At 38.0% G+C, this 27438-nt stretch overlaps 1 protein-coding gene and 1 pseudogene across 1 annotated transcript in view, besides 1 other annotated feature; both read left to right on the top strand.

Moving 5' to 3' along the window:
- TOX (thymocyte selection associated high mobility group box) overlaps positions 1-22760 on the top strand; it is a 313736-nt gene extending 290976 nt beyond the window's left edge. The window contains exons 6-9 of the mRNA NM_014729.3: positions 1270-1350; positions 12448-12834; positions 19903-20054; positions 20389-22760. Of these exons, the coding sequence (NP_055544.1) occupies positions 1270-1350; positions 12448-12834; positions 19903-20054; positions 20389-20425 (657 nt within the window). The 3' untranslated portion in view covers positions 20426-22760. The remainder of the gene's footprint in view (positions 1-1269; positions 1351-12447; positions 12835-19902; positions 20055-20388) is intronic.
- RNU4-50P (RNA, U4 small nuclear 50, pseudogene) lies at positions 13620-13760 on the top strand (annotated as a pseudogene).
- Positions 19928-20222: an enhancer, noted in NCBI's record as "tiled region #1495; HepG2 Activating non-DNase unmatched - State 12:CtcfO, and K562 Activating DNase unmatched - State 12:CtcfO". NCBI's record gives its function as "activates a minimal TATA promoter and a strong SV40 promoter by Sharpr-MPRA in HepG2 and K562 cells {active_cell/tissue: HepG2 | K562}" and the evidence as "EXISTENCE:reporter gene assay evidence [ECO:0000049][PMID:27701403]".

Here is a 27438-nt window from a genome sequence, read left to right as displayed (position 1 = left end):
GGCTCAGCAAACCACAGTCAGCATTTGAAACCATAAATTGACCCCTGCTGCCAAATGGCAGATATTTGGTCTTTAGACATAATTTATATTTAACTACTCTGACTAATTCTGAAGCCACTTTTCAATACTGATCTGTGTGTCTGTTTTTGAGTTCAGCATTACAAAATATTAGCCAAGCCTTATGCCCTGCTGTAAAATCCAAAATGTGGGAAATTTAAAATAGCTGTATCAATGAAAATACATTTCCATTTACACAGTGAAGGATGAAAAATATTTTGATCTTTCAGGCTGATTTCAAAAGATTGCCAAAAAATATACTCTAAAGCCTTGAAAGAATCAACTTAATGGTAGCAGAGAGCCATGTGTGTTCACTTTGCTAATCTTTCATTTTCAACTCTAATGACTGCTCACTGTTTAACTTAGCAATGTGACCTTTAGCATACAAGCAAGTCATTTTTCAGTACTTTTGCTCAATTTAGGATGATTTTGCTTTTATTTTCAAGATGATTCCCTCTCAGAAATGGAAAGCTTCTGTAAACTGAAATTCATTTCAGAACACTTTTACCTTTTCAAAATGAGGTGTCCACAGACCCATGACATCCAGTGTTTTTCTTGGAAAGGACGTGACCAGAGTGGACTGCAGGGCAGGGCATGCATGCAATCCACAGCCACTTGGGCTTCCCATTCCTCTCCCAAACGTGTCCTTAATCACCATCACTGTTTCCTGAGTCTTTGAAAATAGAACTTCAAGGCTCCAAATCTTAACTCAGTGATGAACCTGCACTCTCCCTTCTGTTTCCTTTGATTTGCTTATTGAACATGATTTGTCATCTCTAAATTCTGTCTTTGTTTTTGTATTTAGCGTGGAACATATATATCAGGATGTGAATGTGCTGTGGAGTTATCTGCCCATTATATAAATATGAATGCCTTGTTTACTCACATGTGGTTTCCCTGGGAACCTTCATCAATAGTATCTTTGTAAGCCAACTACCTCTACACTCATATCTACCCAGATAAAACCTTTCATATGTTTTATGTAAAAGTGTAAAGTTTTACTGTTGCTAACTTTTTTTTTCTTTTCTAGTCTATTGCCATACTTCTTAAAAATCTGTTTCAGTAAGAAAACACAATCTTTGGGGAGATATATATTATTATATTATATAACTATAAGTGTGTTTGTGTGTGCAGTTATCATTCTATATTGTACTTCTCTGAAAACAAAAGCAAATGCACTTTCTAATTTAAGACTCTTTGCTGTTGTTGCAGGTCTATAAAAAGAAAACCGAGGCTGCGAAGAAGGAGTACCTGAAGCAACTCGCAGCATACAGAGCCAGCCTTGTATCCAAGGTAACGTGCAGTTGTGTGATATTGTGAAGGATTGTGGCCATCTCGGCGCAGACTTTGATAGTCACTTAAAGGCATAAAAGATCACTTTAACGATTCTGCACAATCTTCTTTGTTGGAAAAAAAAGTAAATTACAAACAAAGCTATACGATATGGAAATATTCGTTCAGCTCCAAAAGACCAGAGCAGCATCCCCTGGGCCATTTCTAAAATATTGTCCACCTGTGGATGATTGGTTTTGTGGATTAGTCACAGTACATTCTTCAACCTGAGCCAACTTTCTACTTCTCCATATCCCTTTCTTAAATTGCCTCCAGGCCCCCATGCCATTGGCCTTTACTGAGGACATGCCAACTCTAAGTTCTAGACTCATTACAGCAGCATTAGGAGGTAAGCAGGACCCAAAAATGTTTATAAATCACATCATTTTGTTTGAAAATAAAAACACCGCTTAAAAATATTTAGTGATCTAGAATATCTTAAACACTAGTTCTTCCTGTTATAAATACCCAAGAGTTGACTGATTGGTTTCATGTTATTAAAGATACAATTCCCGTTATGGAATTCTTCAGAAGGTAACTTCAGAGAAATGGACTGAGTCTATAAGCATTAGACACTGTTATCTCATGTCGCAAATTGGCTGTTACTGCGTTCACTGTGGTCTGGGGCTCTGGACTTCATCCCATTTCCCCTTAGGAAAGACTTTTTTTCTCATTCACAAATATCCAGACTCATTGTAACTCTAAAGTAATTATATAAATTATGTTTTATTGAGGAAAATACATACTGAATATACTGATGCAGAGAAGAAAAGAGAGCCCAAAGTACAAATGCATAAGAAATTTCAGTAAACTATTTGTCTAATCCAGTCTTATGTTCTACTTCTAAGGTATGGCACTGTGAGAAAACTTTAGTTAGATATAATTTACCTTAAAATTTCTAGCTTTTTTGTATTATCTCACACTTTCTAATTTATCTAATTCCTTCTGAAACTATTTATATTTTCTGTTGATACCAACTCACATTTCTGCATGTATTACATAGAATGTGTATAAAATTATAACCTAAAAAGTGTAAAATATTAGATCAATATAGCCATTGGATTAAATAGTCATGTGGATATTGTTAACAGATAATTATGCCAAAAACATAGCGGGGCTTTTAAAAAGTTAATTCTCCTTATTTCATCCAAGATCAGATTCTTTTTGAAGATTTTAAATAGAGTTTTAGTCAGAGCACTTTACACAGGAGCAAATCAATACATGAAGTCTCAATCCCAATACAAAGCACACTAGTTAATGATATGCAGATTGCCAGAATGCTGTGATACTGACTAAGCCTTTACTTTCAAAACAAGTGTCCTCAGATTTGCTCTTAGCTGCAACTTTTCTTACTATTCAGTTTCAGAGTTGCAACCCGCAGTGTACGGCAATTTGTATAAATGCTGCGAATTGCCATTTCTACATTTAAAAAACCAAGCACTTTTTTTACAGCTTACTCTGACATTTTTCTTCTCTTTGGCAGTAGAAATTTTGCTGGAGCTGTTGAATATCTATTTATGTACAACCATCTATTGTGTGTATACAAATTGAAGGAAAGTTACAAACATCCTCTCCAGGTTAAAAAAAATGACCCTCCAATGTTGTATGTGAGTGGATATTTGCATTGTAACTTTCTAGACATCATCAGAAAATTTTCCAGCCTATCCTGCCATAAGATGTAATCACATATATAAAAATCTAATTCTTTTCCATTTTAATTAGGACAAGGCAAATAATAACCAGTCATATTTAAACATATTTTTTCTACATTATAATTTTTTTACTATGTTATAAATTATTTCCCTATTCTAAAAGATTTAAAGGGGCAAACAGAAAATGCTACATGATATATTCCATAATTGTAACTCCCAGGAACCACCATGTGCCAACCAAGCTCTATTTTTTCCCCACCCCCCATTTGTATATTCATTTGACCAATCTTCCTGGGCTTGTGCTCTGTGCCAAGCACTATGCCAGGCTCAGAGAATGCTGTGGAGAACAGGGAAATCCTTTCCTTAGACTTGAAGAACTTTCTCTTTCGTCAAGGGAAATCGTTAGTGAAAACATAAACTAATAAATGATTGAGATTTGAGAATCCAAGTATTCTGGAGGAGATAAAGCAAGAGATCTGCTTAGGTGATCTGCAAAGACCTCTTTAAAGAGGTGACATTGGATCTGGGGGTTGAAGGAAGACAGGAGCTTGTAGAACCAGAGAGCCAGAGGAAAGAGCTGGCCAGGCAGTGCTACAATAAGTGTAGAGACTCAGGGTGGCAAAATGTTTCCTTGAATTGAAAAGGTCTGTGTGGCCAGAGCTGAGTGAATGGAGAGAGTGTGGTTTGAGCTGAAGTTGGAAAGATGGGCAGGAGCCCAATCCTGAAGGACTTGCAGGACATTTGAAAGGCACTGGGTTCATTCTCAGTACAAAGGGAAGCCACAGAATGGGTTCTGGTAAGGGACAGATACCCTGATGGGACTTACGTTTTTAAAGGATCATCTTACGTGCATAAGTTCCCTTAATCCTCAGGCCTTATCCCTTGAAGTAGGCTTGATTATCAACATTTCACTGAAGAGGAAAGACACCTGCAGGTAGCCACTGGCCAAGGCTGACATTGACCTGCACTGCCCTCAGTCTTCTGCTGGGCCATGCTGCTCATGAGTCCTCTCAATGTGCTCTCCCGCACTCCTAAAATACCCAGTGCCTCAGAGTCATGGCACAGCATTGACATTCAGCATTGACATTCTCTCTGATAAGGTCATTTTTGTTCATGAAAAGCTGTGTTAGCCAGAGCACCTCGTCCATTTTCCTAAATTCTTCCTAGCTACTTTGACTTACTCATCCAGAGCTATATATTTTAGTACCTATTTTCTAGGCAAGGCATTCATTTCCCCAAATATGACTTTGCATTTCTAGGCCAATAGATCCTTTCACTAATTTGTGGCCATGTCATAGTCACAGTCTGCTCCTTCTTCCCTCTTCGCCCCTAGGCCATACTCTGCATCCAGAGCAGGGCTGCAGGACACTTGTTCTATGTCGGACACTGGGCTGGGTGCTGAGAGACAAACATGTATATAGCAGATCCAAGTGGACTGTTTCATGATACTTGAAAGGCCTGAAGTGATCCTTTAAAATTAGCTGCTTCTTACAGAACATGATCAAAAATAAGAGCAATCAATGACCTTTGACTCTACCTGTGAAATTGAGTCACAGGATTGACAATGCTTCAGTGATTACTTCTTCCATTTAAAAATACTATATACCAGCCAGGCACGGTGGCTCATGCATGTAATCCCAGCACTTTGGGAGGCTGAGGCAGGCAGATCACTTGAGGTCAGGAGTTCAAGACCAGCCTGGCCAATATGGTGAAACCCTGTCTCCACTAAAATTACAAAAATTAGCTGAGCATAGTAGTGAGTGCCTGTAATCCCAGATGTTCAGGAGGCTGAAGCAGGAGAATCACTTGAACCCGTGAGGTAGAGGTTGCAGTGAGCCAAGATTGTACCACCTGCCCTCCATCCTGGGCGACAGAGTAATACTCCATCTCAGAAAAATAATAAAAAATAAAAAAGTGCTATATACCATCTAATCCAGCAGATTAATTAACATGACTCCAAGCTAGAATAACGTTGAACTCTGCCAAAAATAAAACGCTTAATCCTAGGAAACAAATATTCTCGCTTTTGTAACTTCCAATGGAAATCCTGGCCCATTCTTACCAGGATATTGAATTGTTTCCAATAGTAACAAAAATATACATGGCATCCGTCTACAGAGTAGCTTCTGTGTGCCTTACACTGTGGTAGGCATTTTACACGTGTTCCTATTTCCCATCACAGCAAACCTGCACAGTAGGAATTAGCCCCATTTTCTAGACAGTCTCTAGGCAGAGAGAGTAAATGGCTTGCCCACAGTGGCTGTGGCAGAGTAGGACTCAAACTGCCCACTGTCTTGTTGCAGAGCTTTAGGCTTTTCTCTACCCTCAGTGATTCTCAAATGTTTTTAATCTTTCAAACTGGCACCTCATTTTATCGAGGTAACAACCTCCCATAAAATTCCATGCCAGCTCTTACATAGGAAACAGCTAAGAGTAAAGCTGCCCTCACTTAATTGAGGGTGGAGTCCAGCCGACTGCCCACTCTGCTACCCCCACTACCAACAGAGGCTGAGACCTTCAGAGGAATCTGGGCCTGCAGAATGTTTGGAAAGCACTGCTTTCTGCCATGCTATTCCAGCTGGGTGGGTACCTCAGCTGGTTGTGTGGAGCCAGGGACAAAACTGCCCGGCTCTGGTCACTCCTGCTGTACAAGCATATCAGAATTGCAGGATACATCTATAGGACATAGGATGCTGCAAACACAGTGCTGGTCAGACTCCAAAATACCTTGTTCAATTTTAGGCTCTGTCATTTAAAGGGGGAAGTTGGAAAAGGTCATAAAATTGGCTGGAAGGCCGAAAGTTAGAAGGTAGTAGCAGAAAAAGAGAGGATTCAAGATTATGAAACCCAGAAAACAAAGACTCAAAGGTGTTTAAGTCCACATTGGCATTAGACATAGGGTGGTGATTATTCATGCTTAATTTTCTCTGACTACAGAATAAGAAAATAGGTTCCATTTCAAATTAGATTAATTTAATCTGAACAGGGGACATTGCTAAACTCTTGAATTGTTAAACAACTTCTTTCCATAGAGAAACTTAAAAGCAGAAGCAAATGTTATAAATAAGGATTGGAGGCCTCTAAGGCAACTTCAACCTCTGCACTTTCATATGGAATCACAGGAAGCCTGTTCTAGGACATCTAAAAAGTGCCACCTCTATCATACTGGGAGAGTCCTCAGACTGAGGAGTCTGTAGTCTCTGGGGCGGGTGGATCTGGATTCGAATCCCAGGTTTCCCACTTCCTAACTGCATATCTTCATGCAGTTCCTTGTATGTTCTAAGTCTCCATTTACTCAAATGTTAAACAGAGAAGATAATAGGACCTACATCTTAGGGTTTCCATGAGGATAAAATAAGCAAATCTATACAAATTACATGGTTCACTTGAGGACATTATGCTAAATTAAATAAGTCAGTCACAGAAAGACATGTACTGCATGATTCCACTTATAGGAGGTATCTAGAATAGTCAATTTCATAGACTCAAAGAGTGGCACGGTGGTTGCCAGGGCTGGGAGAGGGGGAAATAGGGAGTCAATAATCAACAGGCAGAAAGCATTCCTCAAACCAGATGAATTAGCTCTGGAGATCTGCTGTACAACATTGGACCTAGAGTCAACAATACTGGATTGTACACTTGAAAATTTGTGAAGATGGTAGATCTCATGTTAAGTGTTCTTATCACAATACAATTAAAATTTTTAAAATTCAAAAATTTAAAAAATAAACAGCATGACTCAGCATCCTGAACATAGGAAGCACTTAATAAATATAAGCTATGAGTATTATTATTAATTTTATTTTTAGTATTAGTAGGTATAGAAAGGAGGGGGGAAAGATTTGCATATCATTGAAAATTTAGCTGGATGATATTTTCAATTTGTCTTTATATCAAAGGCTACTTTGATATAAGGAAATTTTAAAAGTGACATTAAAAAGGAAAATTTTGCATCATAGATGCATTTCTTTATAAAGATATGATCTAGATATAAACAAAAATGCATTCATCTATAGTTTTCTTAATTGAAATGATCTTTATGAACCCTGCAAAGAGGTCCAAGGATATATGCTATTATGGAGGCTTGGCCTTCCCATCTTAAGCAATTTTACACGCTATTGAAGGTCATATGGGGTTGGACTGTCAAATAAAGCTTAAGGAAATATAGTTTTTCCATAGACTCGGGAATTCCTAGACATGGATCTAAATTATTATGCTGAAAACAATGTATAACTATAGAGCAATGGAACTAGTTTCATTTTACCACATAGACCAGAATTTATATTCCCAAAATGAGTGTTGCATTCAAAGTAGTCACCTTGGGAGGCTGCAAACTCATTTTATTATTGCTCCCAGAGTTCAAAAAATTTTTGAAACTCCTCTTTTAGAACTGTAGTCAGGAAAAGTTTATGAGCCACATTAGAAAATCAATCTTGTTACATTGTTTTCACACCTCATTCTTTTCCCCAAACATCACCCAGATATAACCCGCAGACTTGGCTTCAAGTGACTATTAGCTGTTTCCAAAAATCAAATTCACCATCAAAAGACAAAGAGTTGTCTGAGGATATGTAAAACAGTGTCTCACAGGCTCTGAAGAGAATTCCAGTAGGGAAGCTCCCAAATATCCCAAATAAAGGCAGCATTATTGAAATAAGTGTACAACTTCTCAGGATTGCCAACCTGGAAGGATATGGCATTTGGATAACTATGTTCTGGTTTATTAAATAAAGGCAATCAGATTCATGATTTTAAGGTCATAACATCAAATATAAGATTTTGTTTCTACCTTAAGGAATAGTTCATGAAGTGCTAAAATTTATAAAGGACAAATGGAAACCTTTTTTTTTTTTAACGTACAGAACAGGACAATATTGAATTAAGTCAAGAAAGTTCTCTGTTTCCATAGTCAGTAGTAAAGAAGCACAATGCTTAGTTCAATTAAAGGAAAGTGGATTTGAAAAAAACAGTTTCTTTTTATAGAATGAGGCAAACTTACAGATACCATGCCATGGTGAGCTATGGAGACAAATATTGAGTCTGAATTTGCAAATGGGATGGATCATTGTATGACTGTTAACGTAAAATTTGCAGCTCTGTAAACCCAGATCGTGATTTAAAGATAATAAAATCTCATGCTTCAGGGTATAAGTTAATCACCTGCATGGAGCAGAAAGAATTTTCCTTCCAGAAGGAGCAATGCACAATTGAGTAGGTGCATAAATTTTGTTTAATTTTCAATGCATTAAGTATCGGTCAGTGCTGAAAACAAGAATCAAATTAGATGGACTATTAATTTGATTTGGTTCAGCAACTCTTATATTGTTCCTTCCACTGATTTTTATGCATTGTATTTATACTTTGCTATTTTAAATAACAATAGCTTTGTCAATCTTTCATTTTTATAGCACATATCATCCCAGAATGGGGAAATTTATACACTATGCAGTATTATCTTCATTATACAAAGTAAATGGGATTGAAGCTACCTTCAGTAATCAACAATTTGGTTAGTAAAAGGTATCTTCAGGCTTATAGAGTTGTATCCTTTATACATTTTGCATATGTCAAAGGAACTCCCTACAGATAATACTCAAAATGTCTCTATGGCCACGACCCCCACTTTATGGCTTGTAGAAAATATCTTCCAGAATCTGTCGTCTAAATGCAAATAGGAAAGAGAACATACTCAGAAACTAACAGCAAGAACACATTCCTTCTGTGAAAGTGTGGGATTCAAAGGTTGATTTTCAGTTGTCTACAAGCTAGGAAACACATTTGTCAGGTGACCAACATGACACTCATTGCTAAATAAAAGTGGTTAATGTGTTTAAAAGTGGAAACAAATGCAAATTACTTAGTATGTATGAGAAAATAGTTCTAATTTCTGAATGATAGGTATAGAAGTCTTCATATGCAATATAATTGATCAGCAAAATTGTAGCCTTGCTTTCACAGTTAAATTGGGAAAAAATGACAGTAAGAGTACATTATGATTTCTATGTATTTTCATTTAATCACATTATGAATTTATGGCAGTTTGCCACTGAAAATGAACTTATTCTACCTATCTTCCAGAACAATAAAATAACTCTGTAATTAATAGATGGTCTATTGTACTAGACTGCTTAATAATTAATGAAAAGCGAAGCCAGAAGCAGGTTTTTCCTCATCTAAATGAGTGGACCATTACATAAACATACAAATTCCCAAAGTATGGGTGAGACTGAACTAGCTGCCCTGCTACTGCCATTCCCCCAAGACCAGTGAGGCATAAAGGGCAGTGTATCTAACCAAAGGACAGAGCGGAAAGCTGTAATTTCTCATCACTTCAGGAAGGGTTTGGGTCCTGCCGAGAGCAGAGAAGAGCATGAGGAAGGTCAATCTAATACTCTGTGGCTTTTCCAAGCCTTCAGATCCTTCCTCACTCCATGGGAAGAGGAACGGTGTGTCTGGTCAAGAGGGCAAGTCAGCAAGGGCAATGGTGGCTGCCTGGAGGATTGCTCAAGAATAGTCATTCACTCCTTAGAAAACATAATTGTGTTTTTATGTATTTTGCACTATGGTAGATGCGTGGGCTACAGAAATTCAAGTCCCTACCATCAAAAAAAGATGCCCTTTTGGAGGAATCAGGACATCTTTGTGAAAAGAGACTACAGGAAAATAACTTATATTGGAGCACCTGCCACGTTCAGGCACAAGGCTGGATACGTTATTTCTGTTGTCACAGTCAATGATTAGAAAATAAAGGGAAAATATATATAACTTCCCCAAATTCTCCCTCCCTCTATGTTAAAAATTATGTTTCAAGTGTTGTCTGAATCATTATCTTTGGAACTCTATTTACTTTGAGTTTGCCAATAGTTATTCTAGTGATTAAAAGTTACTACTCTTTCAAAGTAGGTTGAGGGGGACTGGTCTTTGTGTGCTTTGATATGGAGGACATAAATGACAAATAAGTGGCTAGATAGAGAAAATGTTTTGTGTTTAATTATCCATGAAAAAAGAGAGCTTTACAAGGTTGGTAATAAAGTATCTCAAATTAGGTTGCTATCTGTTCACTTCTGTAAATCTGTACATCTATTCCATCTCTACCTCTGCTTATCTATCATCTCTCTATATGATGGACCACATACAATTATTTAAATAGTAGAATTCAGGAAAATTAAATTCATTGTTTATTTTGAATTCGATATTTTTATTTCTTTAGCCAAAACTTACCTCATTATCTAGTAATATGTTATATATAGAAATTAAAAATGAAAACATTTTTACAGTTACACATATTTTCTACTTTTGATCATACAAGAATGTGAGTGACTTGTATTATTTTTAAATTAAAAACAACACCTATAAAGCAAAAAATAAAGATGCACCAATATGTATCCATTTTTATAAATATGATTTCTTTCTGGTATGAAGTCAACACAGTCTGTGACTAAATATGAAACTAGCCCTTCTGCAATAGGCTAAAAAGAGGGAATTCAAACATACCGAACACTTTTCCAGATTACTTAAACACACAGACTTAACACATAATCTTTCTGGCATATACGGAATAATTTTTGAGGCATATGAATTGCAGTACATGTTATTCTGATGTGGAAGTAGTCACTGTTTACACAGGCTCGATTAACCCATTTGACCTTTTCCTTGAATTGTTAACTATTTTGCACATCAACAATAAGAATTTTTAAATGGAAGCCAAAAAAAATCTACTTAAAACTTGTTTTTTTTTTTTAATGAAAAGCACCTCTTAGGAGCTACATTTAATAAAGCTTCTTTGATCTAAAACCTCCCCTTAAAATTTTTGCATGAACAGTTTTTGATGTTTTTAATGTTAATACTGAAGACAGGGAGTCTATATGTTTGTTCCTATTTCAGAAAGCTGCATCAACAGTGTGACACAGGGGAAAATGTCAGAATGAGAGGACTCTCCAAAGGGGCTGGAATTATTTCAGTACACCTTACTTTATACTGTGCGTGGAGTATTCAGAGTCTCACAGGACCCCAGGTTTCCATGGTTTGGCATACTTTTACAGGTGTCAGATGTGTCCTTTCTATAATGACAGAACGTGGGGCTGATCGTCCACCCACCCCAGCCTGTCCCCGTCACCCCAGGAGTCAGCAGACATACACAGCATCATTCTTACTGTGGTTTTCATGAAACTTGACTGCATTATTGAAGACAAATGAGTTGTGTTGCTAACCGTAATGTAAGCTGCCTGGTGATAATGAAGCTACCCGGCCTGAGTTTCACGCTGTCGTGCATGATGAACCCGTTTCTCTAAGGGCCTGTCAGTGGGTTGCCCGGTGGTGCATTGAGCAGAAGGACCCCGAGAGCCCTCATGGCACAGTTCTCCCTGCAGTGTGGAAAGTAGTAAGAAACTCACTTTGACTTGAAAGCTGAATAAGCATGACATTGAGATTGCAGAGTAAAAGCATATATGCGTCCTCAAGACCTTGTTTTGACAAAGTGATTTTTTTTCTCCAATCCATTTTATCACTTTTTTCCTTCCAGTTGGTTCTACCTGCTACCTTTGGTTGTTTTATCAGTCTCTTCCTCTCAGGAAATGTAGGAGGTAGGTTCAGGCCCATGAGGAATTGCCACAGGGTTAATTCTTGATTCTTTTCAGCCTTTACTGAAATGTTCAGTTTTAAAATCAATTAAAATATTATTAGGAAATGATCATATGAAGGTGCGGAAAAAATTAGGGCAAAATTATATTAATTTATGATGGAGTCTAAAATTTCTAAGAGAGATTATTTTTATCTACTTCATTATGGAGGACAATTCATCACCAACTTCATTTTAAAACTCAGGATAAGTTCTGCAGTTACTTTGAAGAGTATATTAATGTAGTTTTATATGACTTCAGAAAGGTATTTTAGAACTCTGTTCTCCCATATCCATTTCCATCAACCAGCTTTGTTTTCTTTGTGCAAATATCTAGGCCAAGTCTCTTTGAGAATATAAAAAAGGAAAAATTAAAAACTAAACCTATAATCTATAGAAGAACTCCAGAACTGATTTGCTTTGAAAGTAATCTTCACGTGTGTTTCCCATTTGGGCATTCACGGCATCTGCCTTCTCCCGTCCCCCACCCTCCACAAACCCATCTTGTCACCCTCATTTGGATAATGAGAAAAGTCACCGAGTTAAAAACATTTAGGCAAAGGAACAAAATGTCATTGCAGATTGTTTTCAATTTCCTAAAAGGGATAGAAGCTGTCTTCTATAAATCACATTACAAATAATGGTGAAGAAATTCTTAGATCAGAGAGTCCGGGATAGTCATGGGTATGGATTCCAGGGAAGGTGCTTTAATAAACTCACAAAGCGTCATACCTTGAATCAACACTCATGTATCAGCCTCCCAACTCTGCTCATTTATTTCCTCAACAGAGCTACAGTGAACCTGTTGACGTGAAGACATCTCAACCTCCTCAGCTGATCAATTCGAAGCCGTCGGTGTTCCATGGGCCCAGCCAGGCCCACTCGGCCCTGTACCTAAGTTCCCACTATCACCAACAACCGGGAATGAATCCTCACCTAACTGCCATGCATCCTAGTCTCCCCAGGAACATAGCCCCCAAGCCGAATAACCAAATGCCAGTGACTGTCTCTATAGCAAACATGGCTGTGTCCCCTCCTCCTCCCCTCCAGATCAGCCCGCCTCTTCACCAGCATCTCAACATGCAGCAGCACCAGCCGCTCACCATGCAGCAGCCCCTTGGGAACCAGCTCCCCATGCAGGTCCAGTCTGCCTTACACTCACCCACCATGCAGCAAGTAAGTGCAATGGCTCTGGACTTAGAGTGTGCACCCCTATTCTGAAGTGTGGTGGTGGAGGTGGGGGGAGCTGTTTATCCAGGACAGGATTGGGGATATGTGTTTTCTATCCTTCTATTTAAGTCAAGAGAGCACTAAAGATATTCAACAAATATCTGCTTTCTGTAAAATGTAATTTACAAGTGGTGAGTTCGTGTGGCATTATGCCATCACAATTGACAGTCACTTCTTTTCATAATCACTGGTTTCTTTCCCATGATATCCATTTTGCTTCATGTTTCTAATCATTCTTCTTGTTTTCTGTTTCTTGAGTAAAGTACATTTGTTATTTTAAGATACCAAGTGCTGCCGAATCTCTTTGGAATAGAGAATTCTACAACTTTTTAAAAAATATTGTTTGGAGATGAGAAAGTCTTGACTGGTATGCCTCTTGAGTCCAATAAATGCTGAAAAATGAAATCAGGTCCAACACCAAATCTGGTAGAACCCTGAAAGTCCTAAGAACTGAACATTTTAACCAGAGTTTTATTTAAAAATGGATATCTGGCTTCTGCATAAATTGAAAAACACAGGCTGTTTGGAAGCCTCCCTACCCACTCCCTGATTATTGAAACCATTTGTGTGCAATTTTAGCTTAACTTTTCTTTGAAATCAAATATTGCTTTTGGATTTTGGTGTTATTTTAAAATTTGAAAATTAGGCTCAAACAATATAAACTAAACTGAACAGAAGGCATCCTGAAATCCTAAAACTATTTTTTAAATTTTATTTTAAAAAATAAAAGCAGCTTTGCGCAGTGGCAGTATCATAGCCAATAAAGTTTATCTGAGATGTGATTATTGCCAGTTGAAAGCTTCTCCCACTACCCTGCCATGACAACTTGCAGTATAATTGACACTGGCAATCTTTTATAGTCTCTATGGAGACTGAATATAATTTTTTAAAAAAATAAATAAAAGTAAAAACTACAAATCACATTAAATGCAGGTATCACTTATATACTCCAATTACTCTATTGTTCTCCAAGCTATAAGGATATAAGGCAAACACAGATTTCCTATAGAATTGATGTCTACCTCTCTGTGGAATTTGAATCTTTAGTTGGACTGGGATCGAGATGAAGCGGAAGGAGAGGCAGAAAAAGAAATCAAATATACATAGTCCCCAATTCATTATTATTATTACTACTATTATTATTGACAGAATTTTTGAGAGCTCACAGTAACAAGCCCAATGCTTTTAATACACCACCTCTTCTTTAATTCTCAGAAAACTTATAGTGTGGGTATGAGCATTATCTTCATTTAGAGGAAGACACTGAGGCTTGGCAGAGTTAAGTCATGTGCTCATAAGGTCAGAGCTGGAATTCAAACCCAGGTCTGTTCAAAACTCAGAGGCTGGATTCTAAAATGCTAGGCTTGCTGCATCTCATTCACAGTCGTTCTTGTAGACTCTTAACTCTTTCATATGAGAAAACCTGTATCTCCTAAGAATTCAAAGGATCTTTAAATTCTGGTTACTTCTCAAATCAAAGTCGTTATGAAGAACAAAGGGATTTATCTTCTTACTGAAGTCTTTCTTGGTCCCTAAGCCAAAGATACTGTTAAAGCTATGATGATTTTCTTATCTGCATCCAACAGACAGTTGTTGATTCACTGGGGAAGAAGAGTACGTAGAAAGCCACTTCCCACCACCCTGCCTTGTCTTAAGAGGCATATGACCAAGTTATATTCTGAGGGTCAAATTCCCACTCTTCCCATCAGACATCAACTTCAATTAAAGGGACATACTTGGGTATCCATGCATCTTAATGAACCAGTAGTGTTTGTATGAAGAATTAATGGTTTGGAGGATGCCACCCTTGGTTGGGTAATTGGCCCCTGTTTGAGGGTGCTGCCTAGCTAAGGACCCATGTTTTGCTTACAGTGCTATAGTTGGGGGCTGTTTCTTCCTGAAGGAAAAAAACCAAAAGTTCAGTTTCCTCACCATGCTGCGGGCTGGAGCTGTGTGCAGAGATCTTTTTTTCTGATTTATCAATCAGAGATGATTACTTTTTCTATTTATGCTAACACAAACACCTTGGATGATGTGGCCATGATCCTGAATAGTTTTCAAATATTTCAGATTTACATAAGACCACATGTAAAAATCCAAGAGATTTGTCTTTCCATATAGAATCTTAACTGTATAAGAAAAAATAGAACAGATTACATTGGACAAGTTATTCATCATCCTTTAAGTCAGTTCTGTTAGTGTATCCCAAAAAGTATGCTTGCTGAGATGGGAAGACCTGATTACAATTTACCCAAATGGCATAAGCCCAAAATGGAGATTAAATCGCTCCAAAGACTACATTGACTAAGAACTCTTTTAACAATGCCTTGATCATGGTAAGTAGTCAAAATAATTGTTGAGTAGTGAACAAATAAACAAACAAATGAGCAGTAAAAGTGTTTCACTGTTAGAAGGATTTAAAGATCAGGTAGTAGAATTTCAATTTCAATTCCTTGGAAGTTTTTAAAAATGTAATTGATTCGAAAAATTTTAATTGAACCCCTAACATGTGGTAGGCACTATCTAGGCTCTGGAAATTGAGTGATGAGTGAGAACAAGTCATGAGACCCCTGCCCCGTGGAGTTGGCAGGGGAGGGATGGCAGTGGTGATATGATAAACAAATAACGAAGGTCCCCTGAAAAAAATAAAACTGGAAGACAGAATTCCAGACTTTCAGGGTGCATGCAGGAAGGACAGAGCCTTTAGCTAGGATGGACAAGGAAGGCCCTTCTCAAGGGCTGGCACAGTGACCTGAAGGATGAGAAGAGGAAGCACGCTTTAAATACTGGAAAGTGGGAAGGGTGTGGAGGACGTTCCCACAGACAGCAGCAGCCAGGAAAGGGGACTCTAGCTGGGAGAGCCAATCTGGGGATGAGCATGGCCTGTCCAGGAGATCGGAAGGAGGCCAGTGGAAAGGAGGGGAATAAAGAGAGAGGTAGGGGCAAGGTCAGAGTCAAGGGCAGGGAATTGGAGTGGGATCCTGCAGGTGAAGGGGACTGGTATCCCCAGAGAACTGATAATCCTAAAATCAGGATCAAAAAGGGAGTCCACCACCCCTCCACATTATCACTTCATTTATTGCCACCGCCACAGTCTGTTGGGGCCCACATCCGAGTCATCAGTTAGTCTTCAGCCTGTAGATGCAGACCTGAGTTGTGGATAAAATCTGACCTGATTCATCATTCAAAACACCTTTATGCTGAAGATGTTTGCTTCCTCATGTGGGAGCCATGTGGACACATCCAAACACCAGACAGAGAGAGAGAAAGAGAGACAGAGAGAGAAGAACGTTAACAGCAACTGTATTTTTAAAATAGTGTCTCATATTCCAATATTACTTTAGCTATTTTATTATCCTTTTGAAAATGAATGTATCCTACAAAAATGATTGTGTAGTCCACCAGGAATAATAGTTTCATTTTTTTCTAGAATAATGTTTTATACACTGAAACCGTGGACCTGCTTTTTTTGTCCAGTTTTCTTTCTTTTCTTCTGCTCATGAGATTGTCGAATGAGGTCAAGAGAAAAAAATCATTAATATCTGTCAACTTCCTTTATAACCTTAAGAAAAAATCTTTGTATGATATCACACAGACAGATTTTCAATTTCCTTGTGTAATAAACAGCTGCTTTAGGATTTGGGTGTAATTTAAAGGTTTAAAAAAAATCACATTGAGATTGATGAATAAATCAGTTGTGAAGACAAAAACATTGATGCCTGTTGAAAATACCTCTCCAGACAGGCAGGAAATGAAATTAGTTCCCAGTAAAGTGTGGATATGAGGATCACTGTTTGGTTGTGCTGCAGGCTTTTTCGGACTTGCTCTGGTGGCACAACAAAACTGCGAGGGCTGCAGAAATCTAATTAAAGAGCAAATGTCCCTTCTGACATCAAATTAATCTTTATCATGTTTCCTATTTTTATTTCAATCTGGCACCAGAAAATGAAATTTAAAATTCCAGGCATGCTACAAAACAGTTGGTGATTTTTCTCCTGAGTATTAAAATGCAAAATATTCAGTCTTGTTTAATTAGACTACTAAGCAAACATTTTTTCAAAAAGTGTGTGTCATCATGTTGTTTCATATTTACACCAATAATCAATATTTACTGAGTGCTACATTTGACCTCAGCATCTCTTTTTATAGTGTTCAGAGGAATGTGTCATTTGCTAAATTGAAAGAAAGTAAAATAATGTGAAATAATATTACTTCAGGCTTTGCTTGTATGTTTCTCGGTCCTTGTTTTGATATTAGTGATCTTAAAATAGACATTGAAGTTAGCTGAAGTTTAAATCTTTGAACTTTGTAGCTAACACATAATTTTGGTTTTGTAAACTGAAGTCACTCATTTAATCTTAAACTAATAATGTTTTCTTACAACCTGAGAACTATTTTCATTGGATGGGGGGAAAAAATGGCGGTTTCTGTGGTCTTTGTGTGGGGAAGGGCAGCGAAAGGGGGTGGGTTGGTCTCGTGTGGTTGCTGGGTTTATTTGTTTGTGCTTGTGTTTTGCTTTTTCATATGTTTCCACGCTGTCAACTAAGTCAATATATTCTCGACTACTTCTTTTTTGAGACTTTTTTCCTTTTAGGTTACATTTTGTCAACTGTGTAAAACTCCAATATGGAGACCAAGCATGGTAGCTCACTCGTGTAATCCCAGCACTTTGGGAGGCCACGGTGGGAGGATCGCTTTAACCCAGGAATTGGAAATGAGCCTGGGAAATATGGCGAAACTATGTCTCTACAACACATACACGCACACCAAAAAAAATTTAGCAAGGCATAATGGCAGCACCTGTAGTCCCAGCTACTTGGGAGGTTGAGGTGGAAGGATCGCTTGAGCCCAGGAGGTCGAGACTGCAGTGAGCCGAGATGGTGCCATTGCACTCCAGCCTGGGTGACAGAGCAAGAGCCTGTCTCAAAAACAAAACAAAACAAAAATCCAATATGGAGAACTTTACACTAAAAAGATAGCAGCTGGCTACAATGGCTCATGCCCATAATCCCAGCACTTTGGGAGACCAAGGTAAGAGGATCCCTTGAGCCCCAGAGTTCAAGATCAGCCTGGGCAACATTGCAAGTCTCCATCTCTACAATAAATAAATAAATAAATAAATAAATTTAAATTAGCCAGGCATAGTGGCACACACCTGTAGTTCTAGCTACCTGGAAGGCCAAGGCATAAGGGTTGCATTAGTCTAGGAGTTTGAGGCTGCAGTGAGCTATGATCATGCCACTGCACTCCATTCTGGGTGACAGAGCAAGACCCGGTCTCTAACAACAACAAAAAGATAGGAAATCCCTGACATTTAATCATTTATATACCCTGCACCTTTCCAACAGTAGCATCAAACAGTCTGCAATAAACTTTACTTATGAAAAACATGATTTATTGAGCCACTATTATGGGCTAGGCCCTGAGAATACCCAGTAAGTATTTGAAACACTCTCTGATCTCAAGATGCTTACAGCAGCCTTGTGATGAGGCTGAATAAAGGAAGCCAAGACAAGGCTCCTCTCAAGAGTTTTCTCCTGTCCTTCGCCCAGCATCGAACTAGACACTAGGGAAATATTTTGGAAGATATTTACAGCTTGAGGAACAGGTCATATCTACACAGACAAACTTATTTTCCGTAAACAAGCTGTGAATTTCTTTTAGTCTGTGTGAGATCAAGTAACCAATCTGGTTGAATTGTCCATTTTTCAGTGATTTGTCTCCAGTCATTCAGAGTTTTGTCTTTGTCCACAGCTTGTGTGGGAATCAGTGGTGATGTTGGCTTGAAGTCTTTATCATTTGAATAGGAAATAAACTTAATATCTAAAACTGAATAATGAGAAATGAGAATATTTGGTAATAGGTGCCTTCGAGTCTTTACACGAGGGACACTCAAACATGAATAAAAGTCTAAGGAGGTATCCCTAGTTAAAAATCAATCCTCCTGTCATCCTGCTGAGTTCTTTAAAAGTGAAAATTCAACAATATTATGGCTTCAAAAGCTTTCTCCAAGTAAATAGAGAATGGTTTGTTTTTTAATCTCTTGATTTCTTAGTGGTTAAAAATCATGGATGGAATCTGCTTTGGAGACAACCATGAGATTAATTAAGTTGCCTTTTTGGTCATTTCCAGAAAAACTTGCTTATGTTGATCTTGAATTCACCAGAGAAGCTAAAAATAAATCTTAGTATAGAATGCTTTTTGTTTACCAGATATAGCTATACACTTCAGAGATTCTGTCCTTGAATTTTTAATAGCTTCGCTAGGATTAAAAGTCAACACTTCACCATGCCAGTGTATTAGAAGAATCTTCCTGAAGTCTGATTATTGTTTGCCAGTTAATAGACTTTTCAATTAAAAAATATTTGCTCTGTCGTACACTTTTCCCTCCCCGTGTTTTCCAATGGCAAGTCGTTTTGAATCTCTTTTCCCTGTATTAGTCCAACAACTGTTAAAAAGCTTTGGTTGAAATTTTTTAGCTGAGAGAGAAATACAAATAAAAGAAGAAGCAGATGGTCCCTTTGTGACTGAATGAAGAAAAAGAGGTTTGAGAACAATATGTGAATAGGTGTAGTCTAATAAAACACTCAGCCACCTGCTGCCTGAATCCTTCAAAAAAGATTCTGTTGCATATTCTGGGGATTAACTATTAATGTATCCTTAGGTTTGATAGAAAACATAAACTTTGAGGGGTTTAGGCCCTCTTCTCCCTTTGTTTTGATTGAGTTGGCTCCTCTATATTTGAAATTGTTTCTCAATTCAATTTATCTGCTCAAGGGTATAATTAAAGGTTTTCTGACTCATGGCTAAATGAAGGAAAGGTAAGAAGAATGGACTTGTGGGCATTTCTTTTCTACCTTTGTTTTAAATTTTCTGGGCTCTTCCGACAGGCTTGCCCTTGCAGAGACAGAAGCAAGAGGCCTAGTGTGTCTGCAAAGAATGAATAAATATTTAGGTGCTTTTCTTCTTAAAATGCATTTTGATCCTTATTTGCGGACTTGCTTTCCCTTTCAGGGATTTACTCTTCAACCCGACTATCAGACTATTATCAATCCTACATCTACAGCTGCACAAGTTGTCACCCAGGCAATGGAGTATGTGCGTTCGGGGTGCAGAAATCCTCCCCCACAACCGGTGGACTGGAATAACGACTACTGCAGTAGTGGGTAAGCGGCCGGTCATCGCCACCTGGTGGTGGACAGCGCTCATAGCATGCATATCGTCCCTAGTTGATCGTTCTCTTGTTTCCAAAAACATGATCCGGGATAGTTTCACGTTCATGAAGGCAGAAGACACCAGAAATTGTTAAGCAGTCTTCTAGCTCTTCCAAGAATAAATGCCTTTAGCTCACTTCTCACTTCAGATGTAGGTTAACTAATTGCAGTTTCCCAGTGAACAGCTCAAGCTGGAGCAAATAATTCAAAGACATCCATCCCCCCATTGTCACCTGTAGCACAGGTTGTCCTGTAACAAGGAACTGTCTTTTTTCTCTTCCTACAGGGGCATGCAGAGGGACAAAGCACTGTACCTTACTTGAGAATCTGAACACCTCTTCTTTCCACTGAGGAATTCAGGGAAGTGTTTTCACCATGGATTGCTTTGTACAGTCAAGGCAGTTCTCCATTTTATTAGAAAATACAAGTTGCTAAGCACTTAGGACCATTTGAGCTTGTGGGTCACCCACTCTGGAAGAAATAGTCATGCTTCTTTATTATTTTTTTAATCCTTTATGGACATTGTTTTTCTTCTTCCCTGAAGGAAATTTGGACCATTCAGATTTTATGTTGGTTTTTTGCTGTGAAGTGCTGCGCTCTAGTAACTGCCTTAGCAACTGTAGATGTCTCGGATAAAAGTCCTGGATTTTCCATTGGTTTTCATAATGGGTGTTTATATGAAACTACTAAAGACTTTTTAAATGGCTTGATGTAGCAGTCATAGCAAGTTTGTAAATAGCATCTATGTTACACTCTCCTAGAGTATAAAATGTGAATGTTTTTGTAGCTAAATTGTAATTGAAACTGGCTCATTCCAGTTTATTGATTTCACAATAGGGGTTAAATTGGCAAACATTCATATTTTTACTTCATTTTTAAAACAACTGACTGATAGTTCTATATTTTCAAAATATTTGAAAATAAAAAGTATTCCCAAGTGATTTTAATTTAAAAACAAATTGGCTTTGTCTCATTGATCAGACAAAAAGAAACTAGTATTAAGGGAAGCGCAAACACATTTATTTTGTACTGCAGAAAAATTGCTTTTTTGTATCACTTTTTGTGTAATGGTTAGTAAATGTCATTTAAGTCCTTTTATGTATAAAACTGCCAAATGCTTACCTGGTATTTTATTAGATGCAGAAACAGATTGGAAACAGCTAAATTACAACTTTTACATATGGCTCTGTCTTATTGTTTCTTCATACTGTGTCTGTATTTAATCTTTTTTTATGGAACCTGTTGCGCCTATTTATGAAATAATAAATATAGGTGTTTGTAAGTAAATTTGTTAGTATTTGAAAGAGGTTTCTTTGATGTTTTAACTTTTGCTGGCAAAAAAAAATTCACGCTTGGTGTGAATACTTTATTATTTAGTTTTTACAGTAACATGAATAAAGCCAAACCTGCTTTTCATTTAGCAGCAAATTAAAGTAACCAGTCCTTATTTCTGCATTTCTTTGGTTGATGCAAACAAAAAACTATTATATTTAAGAACTTTATTTCTTCATACGACATAACAGAATTGCCCTCCAAGTCACACAAGCTCCAAGACTAAACAAACAGACAGGTCCTCTGTCTTAAAAAGGTTACTTCTTGGTTCTCAGCTGGTTCTAGTCAATTCTGAACCACCACCCCCCGCCCCCCGCAAAAAAGTAAAAGTCAAACCAAACTTCCTCAAGCTGCATGCTTTTCACAAAATCCAGAAAGCATTTAAGAATTGAACTAGGGGCTGGAAGAAGTGAAAGGGAAGCATCTAAAAATGAAAGGTGAGTAACCAGATAGCAAAAGAAAAGGGAAAGCCATCCAAATTTGAAAGCTGTTGATAGAAATTGAGATTCTTGCTGTCTTTTGTGCCTCTACAAGCTACTACTCATTCCAGAATTCCTGGGTCTTCCAAGAGGATTCTTAAGGTACCAGAGATTTGCTAGGGAACCAAAAGTGCTTGAGAATCTGCCTGAGGGCTTGCATAGCTTTCACATTAAAAAAAGAAAAAGCTAGCAGATTTACTCCTTTTTAGGGGATCATATCAAGAAAGTTAGTCTGGTTGGAAACCAAGAGAATGGCTGATGTCTCTTTCTTGGAATATGTGAAATAAATTTAGCAGTTTAACTAAATACAAATATATGCATTGTGTAATCCACTCAGAATTAAACAGACAAAAGGTATGCTTGCTTTGGAATGATTTTAGGCATTGTACAACCTTGAATCACTTGAGCATGTAATAACTAATAAATAATGCAGATCCATGTGATTATTAAAATGACTGTAGCTGAGAGCTCTAATTTTCCTGTCTTGAAACTGTATAAGAACTCATGTGATTAAGTTCACAGTTTATTGTTTGTCTGTTTAGTATTTTAGAAATATACCAGCACTACTAATTAACTAATGTCTTTTATTTATTATATTATGATAAAGTAAAAATTTCACTTGCATTAAGTCTAAACTGAGAAGGTAATTACTGGGAGGAGAATGAGCAGCTTTGACTTTGACAGGCGGTTTGTGCAGGAAAGCACAGTGCCGTGTTGTTTACAGCTTTTCTAGAGCAGCTGTGCGACCAGGGTAGAGAGTGTTGAAATTCAATACCAAATACAGTAAAAACAAATGTAAATAAAAGAAAACACATCATCAATAAAACTGTTATTATGCGTGACCGTATTCTATTTGGTGATCCATCAGTCTCTAAAAAGCAAGCCTAGTCAGATGAGAAATCCCAAATAAATTTTATGGTGGAAGTGATCGGGCAGAGTGGGGGTTAATGGCCGCCATGGCCACAAATGTTCTTTCCTGAAACTCTGAGAATGCCCTCTCACTAACCTGAGGCTCTAGTATAGTGAGCTGTTGCCTAGGAAATCCCCATCTTTCAGAAAGCCAGAATCCACCCTGGGCACAGTAGCCCAGCGGCTTGGAGCTTGTAGCTGAGAGGAACAGTGGGGGTGCACGCCGAGTTCTCTGCTGAAGCACTCCGAAGATTTCCAGCACCATCAGTAAAGTCATTCTGAGAGATAACAGCAACACTGTGGAACGACAGATTTCTTCACCAACACACCAAAACCAAAATTATAGCTGATTAGAAAAAGAAAAAATTGCGAGAGTGTGTAGGAGTGGGTTGAGTTGTGTCTCTAACATAATCGAGAAATGATTAAGAAAGAATAATTCAAAAATCCTGATTCCCATTCAAATGTGACCGAGTTGATAAGGCAAAATGAGTCAAATAATGACTTCCAGTTAGTCAAATTATAGCCAAGGATGAAGTTGGTCTCTGTGATTATTTTTATTATTTGTGTTAAACGCAAAGAGGCCTGTCTGCATGGACCACAAGCAGTCCATGGGAAGCCGTGGCCACCAAAGCAATACAGTCAACCCTCGAACAATGCAGGGGTCGGGGCACCAACTCCTCCCCACACCCACGCAGTTGAAAATGCCTATGCAACTTTGACCCCCGCAAAACTTAACTACTAATAGCCTATTGTTGAGGAGAAGCCTTACTGATAACATAATCAGTTGAGTGACACATATTTTCTATGTTTTATGTATTATATACTGTATTCTTAAAGTAAGCTGGAGAAAAGAAAATGTTATTAAGAAAATCATAAAGAAGAGAAATAAGTTATTAACTAGTGTCAATAAGTGGAAGTGGATTATCATAAAGGTCTTCATCCTCTTCTTCATATTGTATAGGCTGAGGAGGAGGAGGAAGAAGGGGGTTAGTCTCGCTGTCTCAGATGTGGCAGAGATGAAAGAAAATTTGCACATAAGTGGACTTGCTTGCTTCAAACCCTTGTTAATCAAGGGTCAATGTATACTCTGGCTCAGATTCATTACTAAGATATTTCTTAAACTTATGAATGCATGACTTAAAATTAGCACATCAACAACCAATCCCTTTTCTATGGATCTCTTGCCCTTTGCAAAAGAGTTGTCCCACTCATTGGAAAAGTGATTAGACTGAACCATATGAAATTGCTAATATTTGACCTGTTTTATCTATGAAATGGTAATTTCATATGATTCAACCAAAAGGTGTGGGAATTAGAGACAATGGGGTTTTGACCATAACTTGATATGTAATTTCAAATGGAATTAGAAGTACTTTACAAAGTCCTGGGAGAAAATGCTCAAAGGAATAATCAATTATGTTTGTTTACAAGGTACCCCACTTAGAATGAGTCCTAGACAGGTATGTTATATTAAACAAGGAATATTTTAAATTACCAGTAAATCCCAATAGCCATTCATATTTCTTTGTTATAGTAAAAAATTCATATGAACATTTGTAATAAATAGGTTATCTGCTGGAACAGAAAGTTTTTGTTAAACATAGACGTCCTCATGTTTATCCGTTAAATAGAGATTTGACCTACATTTTCTTATTCCACTCATAATTGTCATTTTCTTTTTTTTTCTTTTATTTCTTTTTTTTTTTTTTTTCTGGAGACAGGGCCTCACTGTGTCACCCAGGCTGGAGTGCAGTGGCACAATCTTGGCTCACCACAACCTCTACCTCCCGGGCTCAACCAATCCTCCCACCTCAGCCTCCCAAGTAGCTGGGACCACAGGTGCATGCCAACACGCCTGGCTAATTTTTTTCTATATTTTGCAGTGACAGGGTTTTGCCATGTTGCCCAGGCTGGTCTTGAACTCCTGGGCTCAAGCGATCCACGTGCCTCAGCCTCCCAAAAGTGCTGGGATTACAAGCATGAGCCACCGTGTCCAGCCATAATTGTTATTTTCAAGGAAGGATAGAAACAGAAAATTCATCTCTTTTGCTGATTATTAAATATTAAAATAGTGGCAAGGCAAGGTTAAAAATTCGTATCATGAGTTTAACCTCTAAATCTAAGTCACCCTTCCACTTAATGGTTGAATTCATGTGAGTCACCCCATGGTAAAAATCTCTTTGTCTGCCTGAAATTCAACAATTTCCTTATCTCCAAAACAATTTGGAATGTCATAGCACACAGTAGATGCACAAAAAATGCAATGATACAAAGAAAGATCAATAAAACATCATCAATTATCCTCAACAGGAATTGTATGGTGTTTTCTTGATGATTTAAAGGCTCTTTAAATATAGATGGGAATTGAATATTACAGGCAAGCATTAGGAGTGAAGATGCAAATGTTTCATTAAAAACCTAGGGTTACAAAAAGATTGAAAGAATTTCAAAATGAGTTATGCCATATTTTTTTGGCCTACATAGTTGAACAAGAGCTTTTCTATTTGTGACAAAAGTAAAAGATCTAATACACACTAGTCTCACCAAGAAAATAAGAAGGGAGAAAAGAGGTGCTAGACATGTAGGGTGTCAAACACAAGAGAGAACATTCAGGAGACAAGTTTCATGGATTCTAAATTAAACTATTGATGAACAGGATACTGAATTTTTTTTTTCTAATTACCAAGTGTTAGTATGACTTGGTGAAGCAAGGAAAAGACTGTATTTCCTGGTTCTATTTTTTAGGATTTTCAAAGGCGATTTCTCTACTTTTATTTGGAACGATTTCCCAGTGTGGAAAACCTTTCCTAACAAAAAAAAAGTCTCCAAATCTGTACACAAGACCATTGCTTGGAGAAAGGGGATGGGGAGCCCCCTAACCTCACCAACCACGGAGGAGGAAGGCTGGGAGCCGCGGGAGGAAGAGGTAACTTCAAACCCAAGTTAGACACACTTGGCAATCTACGTGTACACAGAGAGATTAGACTTTGCCTTCTCATTTCATACTTAGCCAAACATCTTGTCATTTGTATCCAGCATCAGCCTGCAATGTAGTAGATGAGAAGAAGTGAAGATGAAGTTCTTGTTCCCGGATGAGAGACAACTGAGAACAATGACCTGTTATAGTTCAGCACGGTCAGAGTTGCGCCTAATTAATGAAGCCCACCAGCAGGAATCATTTCACATTTTATTAACAGCTTGCTAGCAAAGACATTTGAAAGTGAAATTTTATTCACACTGACATGAGGCCAGAAGAAAAGAACAGTGACTAGAAAATAAAATGGAAAGACTTACGATACTACAGAGAAAACAAAAATCCCATTCTAAAGAAAGAGTATGAACCAAACTACAGTATTTTAAAGTCTGGAGCGTCCCTGTTTGACAATTGTATGTTTACAATAAGCCCAAACATAATTGCTCTGATAGGCTGTCAGGGAAAAGATTAATTTGGCAAAGATTAGTATTGACTTGCTGTTTATTAAGGCTTTTAAACAGCTGTATCTGGCAGCATTCCTGTAAGTGGCTGTCATATCTGAAAATCAGCCTCACACCCTGGTGCTCGCCAGCTGTTCCTAAACAATCTTCTACCACTCTGAATGTCTTTCTCCAGGCCAAACAGCAAAAGCAAACTATTGCCAAATGAGCTTTTTTCTCCTCCTGTCACTTACTTCTGGTGGGGGTAGGGAGCTTCTGAATGCTGAAATGTCAGCTCAGGGCTGATGGCTTAGCTGATAAGAGGTGCCGGAAGCCAGTAGGTGGTTTTGGGTGCTAGATGAATACATTCCCCACATAGAGAGCGGTAGCGGTAGCACTGTTAGTCACCTCACACAGACAAAAAAACCACAGCTTGCAACTGTTGTAGGCAAAATGTTTTAAAGACAGTTAGAAAGTGATGATCAAAGGTTTAAAGCCATCAGAATTCCAAAATTAATGTTTTGTTTCTTCAGGCCAGGCACATGCCATATCTGCCATATAGCTAGGAAAAGACCCCACAGTGGGATGCTGAGAAGTTCAGTAGTGGCCATTCATCTTTAGCGCTGGAACTGGGATTTCTCCCAAGAACTCTGAAGGAGGACAAGCCACTTACTTGGTAAAGCATGCACCTTGCTTTTTGATTCAGTGGAAACCCGTAGAATAAAACAGATTTGGATGTTTTGAAGTCTGTCAAACACAAGGCAGATTGAGTTTTGTACTGGAGTAAGACCTGGTAGTTTCAAATCCAAGTATAGTCAGAAAAGCAATGGAAAGAATAACATTCCAATGGAATTAAACATCAGACTACAAAGGGCCCAGTGTTGTGGTGAAAGTCACATTAGCCTTTCCAATATGACTGCTTTTGGGGGGATTAATATCAGCCTTTTTGCATTGCATCAGGCAGGACTAAGTTGTCAGAGCAGATGCAAAAGGACATTGTCATCTCTTAACCCTTTCTCTGCCGGCACTTTCCATTACACTCTAAGGCATGGGGTTGGGGGAAGGAGGGAGGTGGCTTAGAAGCTAAGCTGTCTACAAGGACATTTCAAGCAGGTGTTTACCAACGTTTAACTTTTAAATAACTTCATTTTGGTGTCTCTGCTGTTGATGCACTCTGATGCTTGACATTTGAATCAGGATCA

The sequence above is a fragment of the Homo sapiens genome, chromosome 8 (genome assembly GCF_000001405.40).
Source record: "Homo sapiens chromosome 8, GRCh38.p14 Primary Assembly".
Lineage (NCBI taxonomy): Eukaryota > Metazoa > Chordata > Mammalia > Primates > Hominidae > Homo > Homo sapiens.
The sequence above is the reverse complement of the archived record's forward strand: the minus strand, read 5'-3'. Positions and strand labels throughout refer to the sequence as shown.